Source organism: Homo sapiens, chromosome 9, assembly GCF_000001405.40.
Source record: "Homo sapiens chromosome 9, GRCh38.p14 Primary Assembly".
NCBI lineage: Eukaryota > Metazoa > Chordata > Mammalia > Primates > Hominidae > Homo > Homo sapiens.
The window spans coordinates 19,406,889-19,426,220 of NC_000009.12; the positions used below are offsets into that span (position 1 = coordinate 19,406,889).

Here is a 19,332-nt window from a genome sequence, read left to right on the forward strand (position 1 = left end):
CATCACACATCATGTATCCTCTGGGAAGTTCCAATGTACACTGGTAAGAGAATGAAAATGAAAAGAAAGGGAGGAACCACACTTTGAGAATCTCTGGCATATAAAATAATGGTTTTTTAAAAATACCATTATATTTTGATGAATATGGATATATTTCCAAGTAAACTGTTGTTGGAAGAAGTAAAATATTGACTACAGGGAAAATTCTATTGCTGAACAGTTGGTGTAGCATTTTGAGACACAGAAATTAACTGATGTATCTTTCTTCTGTGGCTGTGGGAAACATCCACCCCAACCGCCCTTCGTTTTTGAGATGGAATCTCGCTCTGTCACCCAGGCTGGAGTGCAGTGGCGCGATCTCGGCTCACTGCAAGCTCCGCTTCCCGGGTTCACGCAATTCTCCTGCCTCAGCCTCCTGCGTAGCTGGGACTACAGGCGCCCGCCACGACGCCCGGGTAATTTTTTGTATTCTTTTTTTAAGTAGAGACGGGGTTTCACCATGTTAGCCAGGATGGTCTCCATCTCCTGACCTCGTGATCCGCCTGCCTCGGCCTCCCAAAGTGCTGGGATTACAGGCATGAGCCACCGCGCCCGGCCCTCAACCGCCTTTCTTAGGTGGCCAGCTCACTCCGGGTATCCTGTAGGTCTGGGTAAATCAACCCTAGGGGAAGGTAAGAGTGTATCTTCTACTTGGGTTCTGGAGGGCAGTGGAATTGCCCGTAAAGCAGGAGGAAGGGATAGAGGTTGGGACAAAGATGAAAGGAGGAGTGTGGTTTGGCCCCTGGGGGACAAACCTGGATTTTCTAGAGACTAGGAGAGGCGGCGGGGCTTGCAGTTTTTGTCAGTGATGGAGATCTCTGGGGACTTGCACATGGCTGTGTGGGTACTGGTGGGCAGACAAACACTTGGTGCAGAGGACACTGAAGCACCACCCAGGGTCCTGCTGGGCAGTCAGGCCCAGAGAGAGGGCAGACCCTGGGGAGTTGCTGGCCTTTAGGATACCCTGCGGGTCCGAGCAAGACGTCCTAATGACAGTCACCAATGGGCTGCTGCCCAGGGCCTCTTCTGCCGCTGTCCTGACCTAGAATCCTACAACCTTTCAAGGAAGGAGAACGGGAGCCACCACATACACACAGAGGGTGGCTTTCCTCTAGGGATCCTGGGAACCAGATTGGCTTTCATTTACAAACCGCAGAACAGTTACAGAAGCAAAAGAAGGTAGTTATGACTGGATCTGAGGACATCTTGCCTGAATTGAATTTCCAGCTCTGTCACTTGCTAATAGAAGCCCCTCACAGGGTCTCTGCTGGGCACACTAAATGAGTGATACATGGAAACTCTTCAGACAGCACCTGGCATGTGTATGTTATCTATCACCTCTTGAACCTCGATATCTTGGAGATGTCATAACTGCCACACTACATCCTCTGCAGTTTGGGATGGCTGACGTTTGACCCTTTGCCTAAGTCCCCATATCGAAGGCTAGATTAAGCCTTAACGCTGGAGCCAAGGGGAGGGAGGGCAGGAACGTACTCTAAATAGAAGTGCTCCCCCGGGGACTGGGCGGCCCAACCTGCTCCAGCAGCCGGGAAGGTCTTCCTGCCACAGTGACCGCAGCGAGTGGCGTCCGGCCTCGGAGGGACTGAGGGCACTTCTCTGGTGTAAGCACTGGCGTCCAACGCCGGACGCAGCAAAATCGCTGCAAACTCTGGGTCCAGAGAGGTCCAGGTCCTCCCGGGTTTCTTTTTATTTTAAATTTTTTTCCAGGGAGAGTTCTGGCGCTCCTTCAATCGGGGGAGGCTGCGAGTCTGAGCCAGGAGATGGGCGTGGGCAGGCGTGGGTAGCACCATCGAGGCCCTGGCCACCTGCCGGGTGCTGGGTAGTCTGGAAGAGTCTGGAGCCCGGTCTCCGCCTCCAGGCGCCCCACCCTGGACCCCTCCTCCACGCGGGTCCCGCCCCACGGTGGGCGTGGCTTCCAGGGGGAGGGGCCGGGGAGGGTCTGCGAACGAGTAACCTCCCGCAGGCGAGGCGAGGCGGGGCGGAGCGCGGGAGGCCAGTTGGGAGGCGCACATCCGGCGGTTACCCGGTGCTTCATAAAGCCGCTTTCGCCGCTGGCTGTCGCCGCGTTTTGCCTCCGCAGCAGCTCTGGGCTCTTCTCAGCTGCGCGAGCAGCTGCTCCAATGCCCCGGAGTGGCCATGGGCGCCCCGCACTGGTGGGACCAGCTGCAGGCTGGTAGCTCGGAGGTGGACTGGTGCGAGGACAACTACACCATCGTGCCTGCTATCGCCGAGTTCTACAACACGGTGCGGGGCGCGGGAGCGGGGAAGGCAGGCGGGCCAGCGGGAGGGGGCTGTTCCCGCGCCGCAGCGTCTGGAAGCTGGACGTGGGTCTCTGCGCGCATCTGGGGGCATTCTCTCCAGGGGCTGAGTCAGTCCACACCCCCTCCTCGGCGCGCTCCTTTCAGTTCTCCATCTGTCCTCCTCTCCTGTCCCCATTCCCGACAGCTGGGCTCATCTTCCTCCTGCTGTCATTTGTTTTGTGATGGTCCTATTGTCTTGTTTGGCCCCCACGCGTCCAGGAACCAGGGGTCTGTGTCAGCCCATTCTCCTTGTTTGGGTCAGCTGGGGGCGGTGAACCTGCCGGGACAAGTCTCTTCCTCCCCTGGGATCTCTGTGGCGTGACGCACTTGGGTCGCATTGTGCTTTTTTGCCCTGAATACCTGCTCTCGGAGTGCTGGGAAGAGCACGCCCCCCGCAGGTCCCCGCGGCTGGGGTCACTCCCACCAGGCAGACTTGCCCCACCCCCAAGAACATGCCTATAATGGTCGAGTTATTTTTGGTCAGAATCAAGTTAATTACTACTTGTTTTTTTTTCTTGCCTTTAGTGTCCTGTCTTGTGCAAGCCGCTAATTCAACTCCCCCAGGACTGTGCTTTCTCCAGTTCTGAAGTCTGAGGGATGAAAGGAAAGTTTGGGAGTGATAATGTGCGGGTTTTGGATTTGCCTAGGTCCCTAGATAAGGGTGAGCAGAAACTTCCCCATTGCAGAATCCTGTGTGATTTTAGTTCTTGTGGTAGGGAAGGGTTGCAGCTGGGAGAGGAAATGCCTCTTATTTTGTGTATGTCCATGGCTCAGAATCCTGGTACAGAATGTGAGACTTTGCGTGGTCATTTCTGTGGCTTATCTTTTCACCGCCCAAACAAGGGAAACAGGAACTCCTGGTTTGGGTCATTGTGAATTTGAGGTTGTTGTTTAGGACTTTTCCTTTTGGATTTGCTAGAGAGAATGTCTTCAGCAGGAGTCAGGTGCTTACTGCCTGCAGGAATCTCAGATGATCTAGTCCCTGTCCTTTTATTCATCTGATGAGAAAACTGGGCTCTTGAGGAGGGAGCTGTCATGCTCACATTTCTGGCATGGCTGGGGCCACAATCCAGAAGTCTGGGCCCTTCCTTCCCTCAGTGCTGAAATCCATGGCTGGCTTCCACACAAACACTCCTGCTCCTTTTTTTATGATTAGGTTGGTTCCTTAAGAAAACCTAAGGCTGGGCGTTGTGGCTCACACCTGTATTCCTAGCACTTTGGGAGGCCAAGGCAGGTGGATCGCTTGAATCCAGGAGTTCGAGACCAACCTGGGCAACATGGCGAAACCTCATCTCTACAAAAAAATACAAAAATTAGCTGGACATGTGGCACACACTTGTCGTCCCAGCTACTTGGGAAGCTGAGGTGGGAGGATCACCTGAGCCTGGGAGTTGAAGGCTGCAATGAACTGAGATCGCGCCACTCCACTCCAGCCTGGGCAACAGGGTCTCAAAGAAAACCTGGCCCTCTGCTGACCACAGATACTGTGAAAGACAGTGGAAGTGGCCATGACTTATGTATTGCATAACCTCCCAGAGCATGCTGTCAGGGGTAAATAGTTGCACACAGAGGATGGGCTGGAGTAGTTCTGGGTACTTTCAATAAGGAGAAACACCAGTGGTAACACAAGCTGTCCTTTTGTAAATAAAGAATATAGTGAAAGAGTAAGGATTTCACCAGAGTTCAAGAAGAAAAGACAGCTTGATGACAGGTTCTCACACACTTAGCAAGATTATTCTCTGTGCAGCCTGGGGTCTACAGAGAGGGTCAACCTTGGTTATTTTGGCCAAAAAAGCTAGTGTATGGCTTCTCTGAGTCTGTCTTGAAAAGTGTCATAGGGCTGGATGAAAGGGAGAGTTTGTCTTTACTTTTAATCTAGTCCCATTGGAGCCGTTACTCTATGTAGTGAGTGCTAAAGTCTTTTTCAGAAACTAACTGTTGATCTTCAGCTGCATTGTCTGGCTGATGAGCCCAGCTGGCCCATCTGACAAACTTTATTCCTTGGAATACTCATAAACCACAAAATTTGCTCTGGCAAAGCAGAGAGCGTAAGGTGTCAGAGAATAAGGTCATTGCCTAACTTTGTTGAGTGTAGGTCCAAAGAATTTAGCAAAAAACGTTTCTTCCCCTCTGTTGCTATTTAAAAAAATTTTTTTTTGAGATGATCATGCTCTGTTCCAGGCTTGAGTGCTGTGGTGCGATCTTGGCTCACTGCGACCTCCACCTCCAGGTTCAAGCGATCCTCCCAAAGTGCTGGGATTACAGGCGTGAGTCACCATGCCCGGCCTTCTTCCCCTGTGTTCTTACGTACTACTTATATTTTGATGCTTATCACAGGACATTCCCATGCTTATCTTACTCCTGTGTTGAGAAAGACAGTAGACTGTTATGTGGTGATAAATATCGTCTTAAATCCTCATAATAAGGCAACAGGTCTAATTACCCAGTTTATAGGAAACTCATAATCATTACCAGTTTTGAGAAAAAGTTGGAGGAATTGACAATGTTAAATCAGGAGAAGACCGGGAGAGGGATCTAGAACCTTCTTAATGGGTCTTAGGGGTAGCACATCACTACTACACCTTCAGATACTACTGTCTACCATTACTTAATTGCTATGTGTTGAAGCTCTGCTGGGTACTGTATACTCATTCTAGACAATGGGTGCTATTTATTATATCCATTTGATAAAGATGGAAATTGGGGCCTAGAGAGTTTATGTAACTTGCTGTGGTCAAGAGCATAGCACAGCTGAAGTCAGAACTTGGTCCATTTGACTCTACCAAGAGAGTTATCTTGAAGCTATAAGTGCCACTGTAACTAACTTAGATTTATCTATTTGGCATAGAATAGATATTTATTATTTAGTCATTCCATAACTTAAAACTCCTGTCTTGGGATCATTTTATCTCTAGGATAAAACTCATACTTTTTGATAGGAAAAAAGTTTATTTAAAGTAGTTTGTAAAATTACTGTTTATTGTAAAAGTAATATGATCATGGTAAAAAATTTAGAGTATGTAAGTTGTAGAGTGAAAAATAACCTTCTGTATCTTTCTAGATATTTTCTAGGCATATAAAAAGCACATGTATCTGTGTGCATATAAAATACGCATGTATAAGGCTGGGGGCAGTGGCTCATGCCTGTAATCTCAGCACTTTGGGAGGCTGAGGCAGGCAGATCATTTGAGGTCAGGAGTTTGAGACCAACCTGGCCAACATGGTGAAACCTCATCTCTACTAAAAATACAAAAATTTAGCTGGTTGTGGTGGTGCGTGCCTGTAAGTCCCCGCTACTCAGGAGGCTGAGGCAGAAGAATAGCTTGAACCTGGGAGGTGAAGGTTGCAGTAAGCTGAGATCGCGCCACTGCACACTCTAGCCTGGGCAACAGAGCAAGATTCTGTCTCAAAAAAAAAAAAAAAAAAACCAGCATGTATGGCGTAATCACGAATACTTGAAGTTTTTTTCCAAGATGGTACTGTGTAAACTCTTATGTACCTTGTGTTTTTCACTTAATATGTCTTGGAGATATTTCCATATCAGCTCATATAGTGCTCTCTTCCTGTTTATAATGTTTATACAGTACTCCCTTTAATGGATTGATCATAATTTATTTATCTAATCAATCCTTATTGATGGACATTTCATATAGTTTCTCTCTGTTTTATTGTTTTCATTTTGGTTTTTGAACAGTGATTCAGTGAATATCCTCATTCATGCATCTGGATGTACTTTCGCAAGCACTAATCTTAGATGGGGATTGCTGTGTCAAGGAGGATATTCAGTTTAAATGCTGATAATTATTGTGAAATGGCACACTAAAGAGAGTGCACTGATTTGACTTCCACTGACAATGTTTGGGCATACAAAACATTTTGCTTTGGCCTCTGCAAATTTCTGTTGCCTCAAATTGTATCATCCTTTGCTTCAGCCAAGCCTAATATCTCTTCCATGAACATGTAATTTCCTTTCACAGCCTTTTACTTGTGCACATTTTATACTGTTTCTTCTATATACAAATTTTATTAATTGAGTTCCTTTTTATGTTTTAAGATTTAAGACCCCCTGGCTGGGCGCGGTGGCTCACGCCTGTAATCCCAGCACTTTGGGAGGCTGAAGTGGGAGGATCACTTGAGGTCAGGAGTTTGAGACCAGCCTGGCCAACACGGCGAAACCCCATCTTTACCAAAAATACAAAAAACTAGCCAAGTGTGGTGGTGTGTGCCTGTAGTCCCAGCTACTAGGGAGGCTGAGGCAGGAGAATTGCTTGAACCTGGGAGGTGGAGGTTGCAGTGAGCCAAGATGAGGCCACTGCATTCCAGCCTGGGTGACAGAGCAAGATTCCATCTTAAGGAAAAAAAAAAAAAAAAGAAAATATTTAAGGCCCCAGTCACATAGACCTAGCCACTTTGGAGAAAAGCCGGGTCTGCCTTTTACCTGAGCTTGGCCTTTGGGGACTCTGTTGCTCAGCAGGGACTTGAGGACAGAAGAAAGTCAACTGATCGCTGAAAAGAATCTTGAAGCAAAATACATGCATAAAATCAGCTCATGATCTGTCACTTCCTGCTCTGTCCCCAGTCATCAAGATAAATAGAGCTCTCGTTATATGCCAAGTCCTAAGTCCCGCTCTCTTCAGGCTGAATCTATCGGTCGATCCATCAATCTGAGCATTTGCTGGGCAACAACTGTGTGCTTATTCCAGAGACCAGCTCTGTAAATAGTCATATGGGTGGTGAGGGCTATGATAGAGGTGTGTACAAGCCGCTGAGGGTGTTTTTAGTACTGTGCATGGGATTGATGTACTGTGAGGATAGGGTGGTGGTTTTGCAAGAAGGCTTCTGAATAGAGTGACCAAACTTGTCCTGGGTTTTTGCCTGAGACTTTTCTGATTTTAAAACTGAACGTCCCATGCCTTGGGAAGCCCCCTCAGTCCCAAGCAAACCACGACAGTTGGTCATCCCAGGGGCAGAAGTAAAACAATGGAATGGGTAGTTAGGAATCAGCACACAATTAAGATGGACAGACAATCCACTCAGCCAGGGTAAAAGTCCTCAGCTGTTTATGAACCTGCTGTCCAGAATATGTACAGCCTGTTGTTTTGTCTTTATTTACCCTCTGTCTGGAAAGTGCACATTCAGATGCATCAGGATGAGACTGCAGTATGTTCATGAGATTATTTTGTAGCAAATGTTATGTGGAAATTCATAGAATGAAGAACTTTCTAAGGAAATAATACATTTTAAAAATTGTGGGCTAGGCGCAGTGGCTCACACCTCTAATCCTAGTACTTTAGGAGGCTGAGGCTGGCAGATCACTTGAGCCCAGGCTGAGGCTGGCAGATCACTTGAGACCAGCCTGAGCCACATGGCAAAACCCTACCCTGTCTCTACAAAAAATGTGAAAATTAGCTGGACATGATGGCACATGCCTGTGGTCCCAGTTACTCAGGAGGCTGAGATCAAGGCTGCAGTGAGCTGTGAGCATGCTATAATCTAACAATAGGCTTTAAAATGTACTCCTTGAGAGGCGGAGCATGCAGTGAGCCAAGATCGCGCCACTGCACTCCAACCTGGCTGACAGAGCGAGACTCCGCCTCAAAAAAAAAAAAAAAAATTGTAGCCCTTGAGTGCACTATTCTACAATTTCAGCGACCAATACAATTTTGAGGGATACATCTCAGTAGAGATGGATCCATGAGTCCATTTTTAAACCATGACTGATTTGCTTTTTTGTATTTCTTTTGGTGTTCCTTCATCTTTTTCTCTTGGGGAAAGTCTCCCACTAATTTGTTCTTTTCCTTTCCATATGTTGACGTCTTTAAAAGGTACAGTGGGGGCCAGCCAGCCTTGGTAGATGGGCTAGGCAGAAGAATAATGTAATTTCAGTATTATTTGAAGCATATGGCAAAATAGTGCTTCTAAATGGTGCTTCTAATATGCACATTTAAAGAAACTGTTTGGGCCAGGTGTGGTGGCTTATGCCTGTAATCCCAGCACTTTGGGAGGCTGAGGTGGGCTGATCACTTGAGGTCAGGAGTTCAAGACCAGCCTGGCCAACATGGTGAAACCTCGTCTCTACTGAAAATACAAAAAATTAGATGGGCATGATGGCACTTACCTGTAGTCCCAGCTACTTGAGGAGAGGCTGAATCAGGAGAATCGCTTGAACCTGGGAGGCGGAGGTTGCAGTTAGCCAAGATTTCGCCACTGTACTCTAGCCTGGGTGACAGAGTGAGACTCCATCTCAATAAATAAATAAATAAATAAATAAACAAATAAATAAATAAAAATTAAAAATTAAAAAAAAGTTTTACATATCATAATTTTGCTGTAGGTGTGATAAATGACTTCATGCCTTTGCAAATAATATATAAATACATTTAAAAGTGATTAGTGTGTCCATTGCTGGTGGAAATATAACCCAAGAAAGCCATTGCGGGACAGCTTGGGAGTAGATAGTTGCACTTAGCAGAAGCAAGGTAGATTGAGAGGACTTGAGGCACTAAAGATCTTCTGGGGTAGAAATCGCAATGCATTATATTTCTCAACATTATAAGTGGGACTGTAAATTGGTGCTCCTTCCACTGGAAAATGGCTAAACTGCTCCCATCTGCCTCACTTACAGCAAGTGAGCTAAATCTTTATTATCTAGGATGAAAAGGTTTGCAGTGCATATTGTTGAAGGAGAAAAGGAAGCTGCACGATGGGAATGTTAACAATATGTGACATATACGTACCTATTCATGTAAATGTGAAGAAAATGAGGACAGTGGTTATCTCTGGGGAAGAGGCTAGAAAGGAAACTTTATTCCTTTTTTTTTTTTTTACAAGAACACATTCATGTATATGAAGGGAGAAAGATCAGGTTTTAAGTTACCTATGGTATAACAATTCCATTTTTCTTCTCCTCTTTCTTCACTCCCTTGATCCGCCTTCATCTGCTCCTTCTCCCCATTCATCTCCTTTTCTTCCTTTTATTGCTAGTTTAACAAGAGGAAAGCCATGTTTACATCAAAGCCAAGAAACTGGTCATATGTGCACAGTGTGTGATGCACAGTGGGTGATGTGATTCACAATTTTTAGATGCTAGTGGAGGAGTTAAGCCAAGGAGGTCAGAATGTGGTTGAATGAGTTGGGGTTGAAAATCAGCTGGGAGCAGTGGAAGGAGCCGGGCTCTGTGCAGATTGGCTCTCTGACTTGAGCCAGCCCTGGAGCCTTTCAGGGCCCTCAGCTATATCCCTTTGTAAAACAAGGGATGGTTTTTATTTATTTTTATTTTTTATTTTATTATATTTTATTTTTTTGAGACTCTTGTCGCCCAGGCTGGAGTGCAATGGTGTGATCTCGGCTTACTGCAACCTCCGCCTCCCGGGTCCAAGTGATTCTCCTGCCTTAGCCTCCCGAGTAGGTGGGATTACAGGCGCCCGCCACCATGCCCAGCTAATTTTTTTTTTTTGTACTTTTAGTAGAGACAGGGTTTTGCCATGTTGGCCAGGCTGGTCTCAAACTCCTGACTTCAGGTGATCCACCTGCCTCAGCCTCCCAAAATGCTGGGATTACAGGCGTGAGCCACCCGTGCCCCGCCTAAGGGATGGTTTTTAAGATCCTTCTTAAAATAATCCTTTTTTAAAAGACCCTCTTAAGGGTCTTTGATTCTTAAATGATTCCACTGAAAGTTAAGTCAAATTATCTCTGTTTGCAGATGACATGATTGTATGTTTAGAAAATCCCATCCTCTCAGCCCAAAAACTCCTTAAGCTGATAAGCATCTCCAGCAAAGTCTCAGGATACAAAATCATTGTGTAAAAATCACAAGCATTCCTATACACCAATAATAGACAGAGAGGCAAATCACAAGTGAACTCCCATTCACAATTGCTACAAAGAGAATAAAATACCTAGGAATACAACTTACAAAGGATATGAAGGACCTCTTCAAGGAGAACTACAAACCACTGCTCAAGGAAATAATAGAGGACACAAACAAATGGAAGAATATTCCATGCTCATGGAAAGGAAGAATCAAAATCATGAAAATGGCCATACTGCCCAAGGTAATTTATAGATTCAGTGCTATCCCCATCAAGCTACCATTAACTTTTTTTCACAGAATTAGAAACAACTACTTTAAATTTCATATGGAAACAAAAAGCCCACATTGCCAAGGCATTCCTAAGCCAAAAGAACAAAGCTGGAGGCATCACGCTACCTGACTTCATACTACAAGGCTATGGTAACCAAAACAGCATGGTACTTGTACCAAAATAGATATATAGACCAATGGAACAGAACAGAGGCCTCAGAAATAATGTCACACATCTACAACCATCTGATCTTTGACAAACCTGACAAAAACAAGCAATGGGGAAAGGATTCCCTATTAATAAATGGTGTTAGGAAAACTAGCTAGCCATAATCAGAAAACTGAAACTTCCTTACACCTTATACAAAAATTAACTCAAGATGAATTAAAGACTTAAACATAAGACCTAAAACCATGAAAACCCTAGAAGGAAACCTAGGCTATACCATTCAGGACATATGCATGGGCAAAGACTTCATGACTAAAACACCAAGAGCAATGGGAACAAAAGCCAAAATTGACAAATGAGCTCTAATTAAACTAAAGAGCTTCTGCACAGCAAAAGAAACTATCATCAGGTTGAACAGTTAACCTACAGAATAGGAGAAAATTTTTGCTATCTATCCATCTGACAAAGGGCTAAATCTACAAGGAACTTAAACAAATTTACAAGAAAAAAAACAACCCCATCAAAAAGTGGGCAAAGGATATGAACAGACACTTCTCAAAAGAAGACATTTATGTGGCCTACAAACATATGAAAAAAGCTCATCATCACTGGTCATTAGAGAAATGCAAATCAAAACCACAATGAGATACCATCTCATGCCAGTTAGAATGGCGATCATTAAAAAGTCAGGAAACAACAGATGCTAGAGAGGATGTGGAGAAATAGGAACACTTTTACACTGTTGGTGGGAGTGTAAATTAGTTCAACCATTGTGGAAGACAGTGTGGCGATTCCTCAACAATCTGGAACTAGAAATACCATTTGACCCAGCAATGCCATTACTAGGTATATACCCAAAGGATTATAAATCATTCTACTATAAAGACACATGCACAAGTATGTTTATTGCAGCACTGTTCACAATAGCAAAGACTTGGAACCAACCCAAATGCCCATCAGTGATAGACTGGATAAAGAAAATGTGGCACATACACACCATGGAATAGTATGCAGCCACAAAAAAGGATGAGTTCATGTCCTTTGCAGGGACATGGATGAAGCTGGAAACCATTATTCTCAGCAAACTAACACAGGAACAGAAAACCAAACACTGTATGTTCTCACTCATAAGTGGGAGTGGAACGAGAACACATGGACACAGGGAGGGAAACATCACACACCGGGGCCTTTTGAGGGGTAGAGGGCTAGGGGAGGGATAGCATTAGGAGAAATACCTAATGTAGATGATGGGTTGATGGGTGCAGTAAACCACCATGGCACGTGTATAGCTATGTAACAAACCTGCACGTTCTGCACATATATCCCAGAACTTAAAGTGTAATTAAAAAAAGAAGAAAGAAAGTTAAGGGCTTTGATCATAACAATGAATAAAAGCCTACTGCTGGCCGGGTGCGGTGGCCTGTGCCTGTAATCCCAGCACTTTGGGAGGCCGAGGAGGGTGGATCACCTGAGGTCAGCAGTTCCAGACCAGCCTGACCAACATGGTGAAACCCCATCTCTACTATAAAAATAGAAAAAAATTAGCTGGGCATGGTGGCTCATGCCTGTAATCCCAGCTACTTGGAAGGCTGAGGCAGGAGAATTGCTTGAACCCAGGAGGCGGAGGTTGCAGTGAGCCGAGATCGCACCATTGTACTTCAGCCTGGGCAACAAGAGCAAAACTCCATCTCAAAAACAAAACAAAACAAAACCTACTGCATATACAGTATAGTACTTAGATCCTTGTCCTGATTCCTCCATGCCTGCTTCTTGGTAAATGAAAATTGACCACATTTCTTTTCTTTTTCTTTTTTTCTTTTCATTGATCTAAGAAAAATTGGCCACATTTCTCAGACTGGTGACTGTATACCACCTGGGACGTCTCAGACAACTTGTCCATATTCTTACCCAAGGTCACTAGTCGCACATAGCACTCCTATGTGGGAAGGAGAGAAAGATCCGCAACAAAGTGAACCAACTAAAGGCTGAGCATGGGAGCTCACACCTGTAATCCTGGCACTGTTAAAGATTGAGGCAGGCGGATCACTTGAGGTCAGGAGTTGAAGACCAGCCTGGCCAACGTGATGAAACTCTGTCTCTACTAAAAATACAAAAATTAGCCAGGAGTGGCAGGCGCCTGTAATCCCAGCTACTCTGGAGGCTGAGGCAGGAGAATTGCTTGAAGCCAGGAGGCGGACATTACAGTAAGGTGAGATCGTGCCGTTGCACTCCAGCCTGGACTAGTGACAGAGTGAGACTCCATCTCAAAACAAAGCAAAACAAAAACAAAGTGAACCAACTAGAAAAAGGTACCCCTTTCTCCATAATGATACAGCCCCACTTAGGTATTTCAGACCTGGATTTTAACCAAAGGTAACAGCTCTGCTCCCATTCTGCCCCTGACCAAGGATCTTTTTCTCCTCCTTTGACTTGCATTTCTCTCCCACCCATCTTTCTCCCGTTTCTAAAAAGTGTCATGCTTACCCGCTCTCCTCCCCAGATGGTGGCAGAGGCAGGCATTGGTCCTTGAAGCTGCCAGTCCTCACTTGCCCTATGCCTCAAGTTCTGGGGTTTGCTGAAGCATTCTATTTAGTTGTGTACCAGTGTGGTTTCTTAGGTCTGGTAAAGCTCTTTGGCCCTGCTCACTTCAGTTCTGTTCAGGTGCCCACCATCATGGTTCTTTGAGACGTCCTCTAAGTGACCATTGTGTATTGTCCAACATGAGTAACCGCTCTTTTCTTCTGAAAGCCCTGTGCCCTTGGCTTTGCACAGTTCATCAACCCTATTCACCTATTTTTGAATGTGATTTTTGTTTGTGTTTAGTCCAGGACCCCTCCCACCCCATCCCGATGGGTGTTACTCATGTAGACTTAGCTGTCATCTTCACATTCGACATACTTCTTCTCTGTGCTCAGTCCTGTACAAGGAGCCCCTCACTCCACAATTAGAGATGAGACTTAAAAGCTGAATGTTCCTACCGCTTCATATCTTCTAAAATAGCTTAATTTAAAAACAAAAGAATATAACAAGTGTTGGCAAGGATGTGAGAAATTGGAACACTGTACATTGCTGATGGGAATATAAAAATGCTGCTGTGGGAAAATGTTTGGTGGTTCCTTAAAAAGTTAAAAATGGAATTAGTACACCAGCTAGTGCCTTAGTCCGTTCATGCTGCTATAACAAAAGATCTTAGACTGGGTAATTTATAATAACAGAAATTCATTTCTTACAGTTCTAGAGGCTGGAAGGTCCAAGATCAAGGTGGCAGCAGGTTGGGGGTCTGGCAAGGGCTCCCTGCTTCAAAGACGGAGTATATGCTACACCCTCACATGGTGGGAAGGGTGAATACCTCCCTCAGACCTCTGTTAGAAGAGCGCTAATCCAATTTAACACCTCCAAAGGCCTCACCTCTTAGTACAGTTGTGTGATGGGGATACGTTCTGAGAAATGTATTGTCAGGAGATTTTGTCATTCTATAACATTATAGACCATACTTACACAAATCTAGATGGTATAGCTTTGTACACACCCAGGCCATATGGTATGGCCTATTGCTCATAGGCTATAAACCTGTACAACCTGTTACTGTACTGGACACTGTAGGCAACTGTAACACAACAGTAAATATTTGTGTATTTAAGCATATCTAAACCTGGAAAAGTATCAGGAAAAATGTGGCATAAAAGCTCCATTATAATATGGGTCCACTGTCATATGTGTGGCTCATTGTTGACTGAAATGTCATTTTGTTGCAAATAATGATACTATCACATTGATGATTAAGTTTTAACATATGAATTTTGTGTGTGGGGGTGACACATTCAGACCATAGTACCCAGCAACAATTAATGTATGAATAGACAAAATAAATGTAGTATATCCTTTCAATGGAATGTTATCCAACCATAAAAAAGAATAAGTTACTGGTATATGCTGTAATATGGATGAACCTTAAAAACATTATGCTAAATGAAAAAATAAGCTAGATACAAAAGGACATATATTGTATGATTCCATTTATGTTATGTGAAATATTTAGAATAGATAAAATCATAAAGACAAAAGGCAGATTGGTGAATGCCAGGGGCTGAGGGAGGGAGAAATGAGGAGTGACTGCTTAATGAGAATAGTGTTTCTTTTTGGGGTGATGAAAACATTTTGGAACTAGATAGAGGTGATGGTTGCCCATTATGAAATGTACTAAATGCCACTGAATTGTACACTTTAAAATGGTTAGTTTTATGGTATGTGAATTTTACCTCAATTTTTTAAAGTTCAGAAAAAAAAAGCTTTGAGTCTGTGAAACAAACAAACCCCAAAATCAACCAAACAAAAAGTAAGTTAAAAAAATTAGGGATGAGTTTCCAATATGACAGTCACTGGCCACATTTAGTTGGCTGTTGAGCACAGGAAATGTGCCTAGCCCAAACTGAGGCTTGTTGTGAGTGTGAAATTTACACTGATCTTCAAGGCTTTGGTATGAACAAAATAATGTAAACTAGGCTGGACGCGGTGACTCATGCCTATAATCCCAGCATTTTGGGAGGCTGAGGCAGGAGGATTGCTTGAGGCCAGCAGTGTGAGATCAGCCTGGGCAACATAGTGAGACCACCATCTCTACCAAAAAAAAAAAAAAATTATAATAATAAATAAAGCCAGGCATGGTGGTGCATGCCTGTAATCCTAGCTATTCAAGAGGCTGAGGCAGGAGGCTCCCTTAAGCCTGGAAGTAGGAGGCTGCAGCAAGCTGGTCCCACCACTACACTCTAGCCTGGTTGACAGAGTAATACCCTGTCTCTAAGAAAAAAAAAAAGTAAACTATCTCATTAATGATATTTAATAGTGATTACATGTTCAAATGACAATATTTTGAATACATTGCATTAAATAAGATAGATTATTAAAATTTTTAAAAAGTTGAATGCCCATGGAGACATAACAGAGAGGCTTAAATCCATACCAAAATCTGCAAGATAAAATAATATCATTTTAAAGCTGGGAAGAAACTTTCAAATATAATCTTTACTTAAAAATAGGTTTTGGTTAGGATGGGAAAGCTGACAAAGGGCAACGAAGGGGGAAACTAGAAAGAGTCCTCGCTTTGTGTAGGCACAGGGGAAAAGGCTGGCTTGGCTGGGGAGGATTATTGGGAGCTGGACAATGTCCAGTCTTTTTTACGCCTTCATTAAACTTTTTTTTTTTTTTAACCATTATTTAATACAGACCTTATCTTTAAAAACACAAAAGCAGGCGGGCGCAGTGGCTCATGCCTATAATCCCAGAACTTTGGGAGGCCTGAGACGAGTGGATCACCTGAGGTCAGGAGTTTGAGACCAGCCTGGCCAACATGGTGAAACCCCGTCTCTACTAAAAATACAAAAATTAGCTGGGTGTGGTGGTGAGCGCCTGTAATCCCAACTACTCGGGAGGCTGAGGCAGGAGAATCGCTTGAACCTGGGAGGCAGAAGTTGCAGTGAGCTGAGACTGCACCAAAGAACTCCAGCCTGGGCTGTAAGAAAGAAACTCTGTCTCAAAAAAAAAAAAAAAAAAAGTAAATGGAGCCAGGCATGGTGGCATGTACCTAGTCCCAGCTACTTGGGAGGCTGTGGTGGGAGGATCACTTCAGTCCAGCCTGGAAAACATAGCTAGACCATGTCTCTTAAAAAAGGATTGTGAAAAAAATAAGTGCAAGTAAATTAGAATGATTCATAATTAACCTTGCAATAAGAATTACTGGTTAATTCTTATTTAATTCTTAGTTAATAAGAATAAGAGAGGAGCTTGGGCAGCATCCATAGACTGCAGTGTTTTTATAGCTACTCCTATGATCAAAGAAGCAGCAGGGAGCCTCTTAAATGGTCATTTAAAAAGCTTTAAGTTCTCCTGATTGTATATCTGTAGTCAAAAGAAGTGTCAGAGGCTGGGTGTGGTGGCTTATGCCTGCAATCCCAGCACGTTGGGAGGCTGAAGCAGGCAGATCACCTGAGGTTGGGAGTTCCGAGACCAGCCCGGCCAACATGGTGAAACCTCATCTTACTAAAAATACAAAGATGAGCCAGGTATGGTGGTGGGTGCCTGTAATCCCAGCTACTCAGGAGGCTGAGGCAGGGGAATTGCTTGAACTCGGGAGGTAGAGGTTGCAGTGAGCCAAGATCGTACCACTGCATTTCAGCCTTCCAGCCTGGGTGACAGAGTGAGACTCCATCTCAAAGAGAAAAGAAAAAGAAAAAGTGCAAGAGCTTAAACGAGATGTGTGACCACATTTATCCCAGTTTGCAAGGACATACTTGGAAGAGGCCACTTTATTTTTTGCCCTTTTTACTTAATACTCATCTTTCTGTTTTACATTTTTTTCCTGCAGATCAGCAATGTCTTATTTTTCATTTTACCGCCCATCTGCATGTGCTTGTTTCGTCAGTATGCAACATGCTTCAACAGTGGCATCTACTTAATCTGGACTCTTTTGGTTGTAGTGGGTAAGTGGAGTCATTTGGGAACACGGACTTAATGGGGTGGTGGGATGGGGGTAGAAGGAATTCCACACACTTCCTCTCCCCTTTGAACATAATGTTTTGTAAACTGAAGTCACTCTGAGGTCTTAGCAAACTTTTTTTTCCCACTTGCTTGAATGCAGGCTTGATAACAAAGTTGGCATTACTGTCACTTGCGTGCATTTGAGACTTCATTTGTGTAGTAGCTATTAGGGCTATGCCAGTGCAATTTTCTGAACGTCTGAAGAAAGTCAGGTGAAACAACTGAACTCTGGGGAGGCTGGTTTCTAATGGACTAAAATTAAAGAAAAAAATGTAGATGTTTGATCCCTCATTGTTTTGTGAAATACTTGTGTCATTTCCATTTCCTCCCACAGGCAGCCTGGGAATTCTTAACAGTGAAGGAATGTTGACTTTTATTTACTGCCTCTTCCCAGAAAGGCTCAGTGGATGAAGACAGAATGCGTTTAACTGTGGAATTGTTAAAGTTCTGATGTGCTGATATTTGGGCCCTAGTTGAAATCTTCTTTCTAGACTGGAGGCATGCATGCTTGGGTGGTGTGAGTTTCTTTCTTCAGTTTCTTTTTTCAGAGAGAGAGTGATCTGGTGACTGTGTTAACCATTGGTGAAAGGACTATCCTTAAGCAGTGTATTGAATTTGTGTCTCTTCTGTGGTGACCTTTTTTTATTGGTTGTAATTGATTCTAGGAATTGGATCCGTCTACTTCCATGCAACCCTTAGTTTCTTGGGTCAGATGCTTGATGAACTTGCAGTCCTTTGGGTTCTGATGTGTGCTTTGGCCATGTGGTTCCCCAGAAGGTATCTACCAAAGATCTTTCGGAATGACCGGTAAGCTTGCACTAAACATTATTGCATTTACCACTAGGTGCAGTACCCAATATAACAATGTATATATGAAGAAAAATAGCACATGATTGAACTCAGCCTAGTGATGAGCTTATCATATACTTGTTCAATATCTACTGATTGTTTTTATGATCTGACAATATAAGTAAACTGACAGATTAAAGAGAGAATTTTAATAATGCAGAGTGCATCACCTCTCTGTACCCAAAGTACATCACCTCTCTGTACCCAGTGGTTTAAGAATTAGCAAGAGTGGAAAGACCTTCAGTGGGGGTGACATTACTGAATGCTTATTCAATACTCTTTGATTTTCTGCTACAACATTTCCTTGAGACTAATCCAACTCCACCAGTTTTATACATATGAAGTAGAATCCAGACTGATGAACTGGTTCTTGGAGCTACAGATACTGTAGTTTTCAAGTTGCCTTTTTTTTTGCTTCAGATGAGAGCTGTGCACCTGCGTGCGTGCGCGTGCACACACACACATACACACTCATATACTGTATATATGTTCAAACTGGAAACCCAGAATTTCAGGAAGGGATGCATTTTAATAGCCATTGTGTTAGGGTTATACAGGTATTCATCCAGCAAATATTTTTGAACACTTATATTTTACTGTGCATTTTGCTAGGCACTGGAATATCACAGTAAACAAAACAGCAGTCTTCCTCTAATGAGCTTACACTGAAGTTGGGGAGATTACAAATCAACAAACAAGTAAATAATATAATATTAGGATATGTTAGGTACTGTGATGAAAAGTGAAGCTGATAAGGGTATAGTGGTGACTTAGGGTGCTGATTTAGAGTTTGGTCAGAGAAAGTCTTTCTGAGGAGCTGTGTGAGGTTTGTTACTATCTAGAGGCACAGAGGAGATTCAGCCCAATGAAGATGAGAAACGCTCCTGGAACACATTACCCACATTTTCTGTAGGACACTGTTTTGTCAAAATATACATATATGGCTAAATAGTCTGAAACTATGGATTCAGTGAAGCAAACGGTATGTGCCCATGGAAGAGTTATACCAGGAAAAGAAAATAATTCATTACAGTTTTACTGGCACTCTGAAAAGGAACAGGAGCTGTGAAGCTGCTGAGGACTAAGGCTGCTGCTATCTGTGGACTCAAATGGAGAAGCGTCTATGAAAAATGCTGGCTGCAAGGGGCACATTATATAATTCTATGTGTGATATCCTAATTTTAGAATGAATGAACTAAACTCTTTCTGAGTATGTTTTTGTATTAGCACAAAAATGCCTGGGAGGTGAGGACACCTAACTACAGCCATTGGCTGTTCTTGGGCATTGCCAGCAGAGAGGAACAGCCGCTTTTACCTTTCATCTGAACTGGTTGACT

At 43.8% G+C, this 19,332-nt stretch overlaps 1 protein-coding gene across 8 annotated transcripts in view, besides 5 other annotated features; it reads left to right on the top strand.

Moving 5' to 3' along the window:
• Window positions 1,091–1,948: an enhancer, noted in NCBI's record as "H3K27ac-H3K4me1 hESC enhancer chr9:19407977-19408834 (GRCh37/hg19 assembly coordinates)". NCBI's record gives its function as "activates a minimal SCP1, AML or CMV promoter by ChIP-STARR-seq in naive H9 embryonic stem cells {active_cell/tissue: H9 hESC(naive)}" and the evidence as "EXISTENCE:reporter gene assay evidence [ECO:0000049][PMID:30033119]".
• Window positions 1,091–2,804: a biological region, named in NCBI's record as "H3K27ac-H3K4me1 hESC enhancers GRCh37_chr9:19407977-19408834 and GRCh37_chr9:19408835-19409690".
• Window positions 1,827–2,116: a silencer, noted in NCBI's record as "silent region_19794". NCBI's record gives its function as "represses an Ori minimal core promoter by ATAC-STARR-seq in GM12878 lymphoblastoid cells {active_cell/tissue: GM12878}" and the evidence as "EXISTENCE:reporter gene assay evidence [ECO:0000049][PMID:35858748]".
• Window positions 1,949–2,804: an enhancer, noted in NCBI's record as "H3K27ac-H3K4me1 hESC enhancer chr9:19408835-19409690 (GRCh37/hg19 assembly coordinates)". NCBI's record gives its function as "activates a minimal SCP1, AML or CMV promoter by ChIP-STARR-seq in naive H9 embryonic stem cells {active_cell/tissue: H9 hESC(naive)}" and the evidence as "EXISTENCE:reporter gene assay evidence [ECO:0000049][PMID:30033119]".
• ACER2 (alkaline ceramidase 2) overlaps window positions 2,121–19,332 on the top strand; it is a 43,497-nt gene continuing 26,285 nt past the window's right edge. For 5 of the 8 annotated variants that reach the window (XR_002956780.2, XR_002956781.2, NM_001010887.3 and 2 more), the window contains exons 1-3: window positions 2,121–2,304; window positions 16,974–17,088; window positions 17,812–17,953. Coding sequence is in view for 6 of the 8 variants with exons in the window: in NM_001010887.3 (NP_001010887.2) it covers window positions 2,197–2,304; window positions 16,974–17,088; window positions 17,812–17,953 (365 nt within the window). In the remaining 2 variants the exon portion in view is untranslated. Of the gene's footprint in view, window positions 2,305–2,890; window positions 3,022–12,798; window positions 12,822–16,973; window positions 17,089–17,480; window positions 17,664–17,811; window positions 17,954–19,332 lie in introns of those variants that run through there. The other 3 variants (XM_047423335.1, XM_017014694.2, XM_011517859.3) reach the window with 3 other exon arrangements.
• Window positions 2,217–2,366: an enhancer, noted in NCBI's record as "active region_28221". NCBI's record gives its function as "activates an Ori minimal core promoter by ATAC-STARR-seq in GM12878 lymphoblastoid cells {active_cell/tissue: GM12878}" and the evidence as "EXISTENCE:reporter gene assay evidence [ECO:0000049][PMID:35858748]".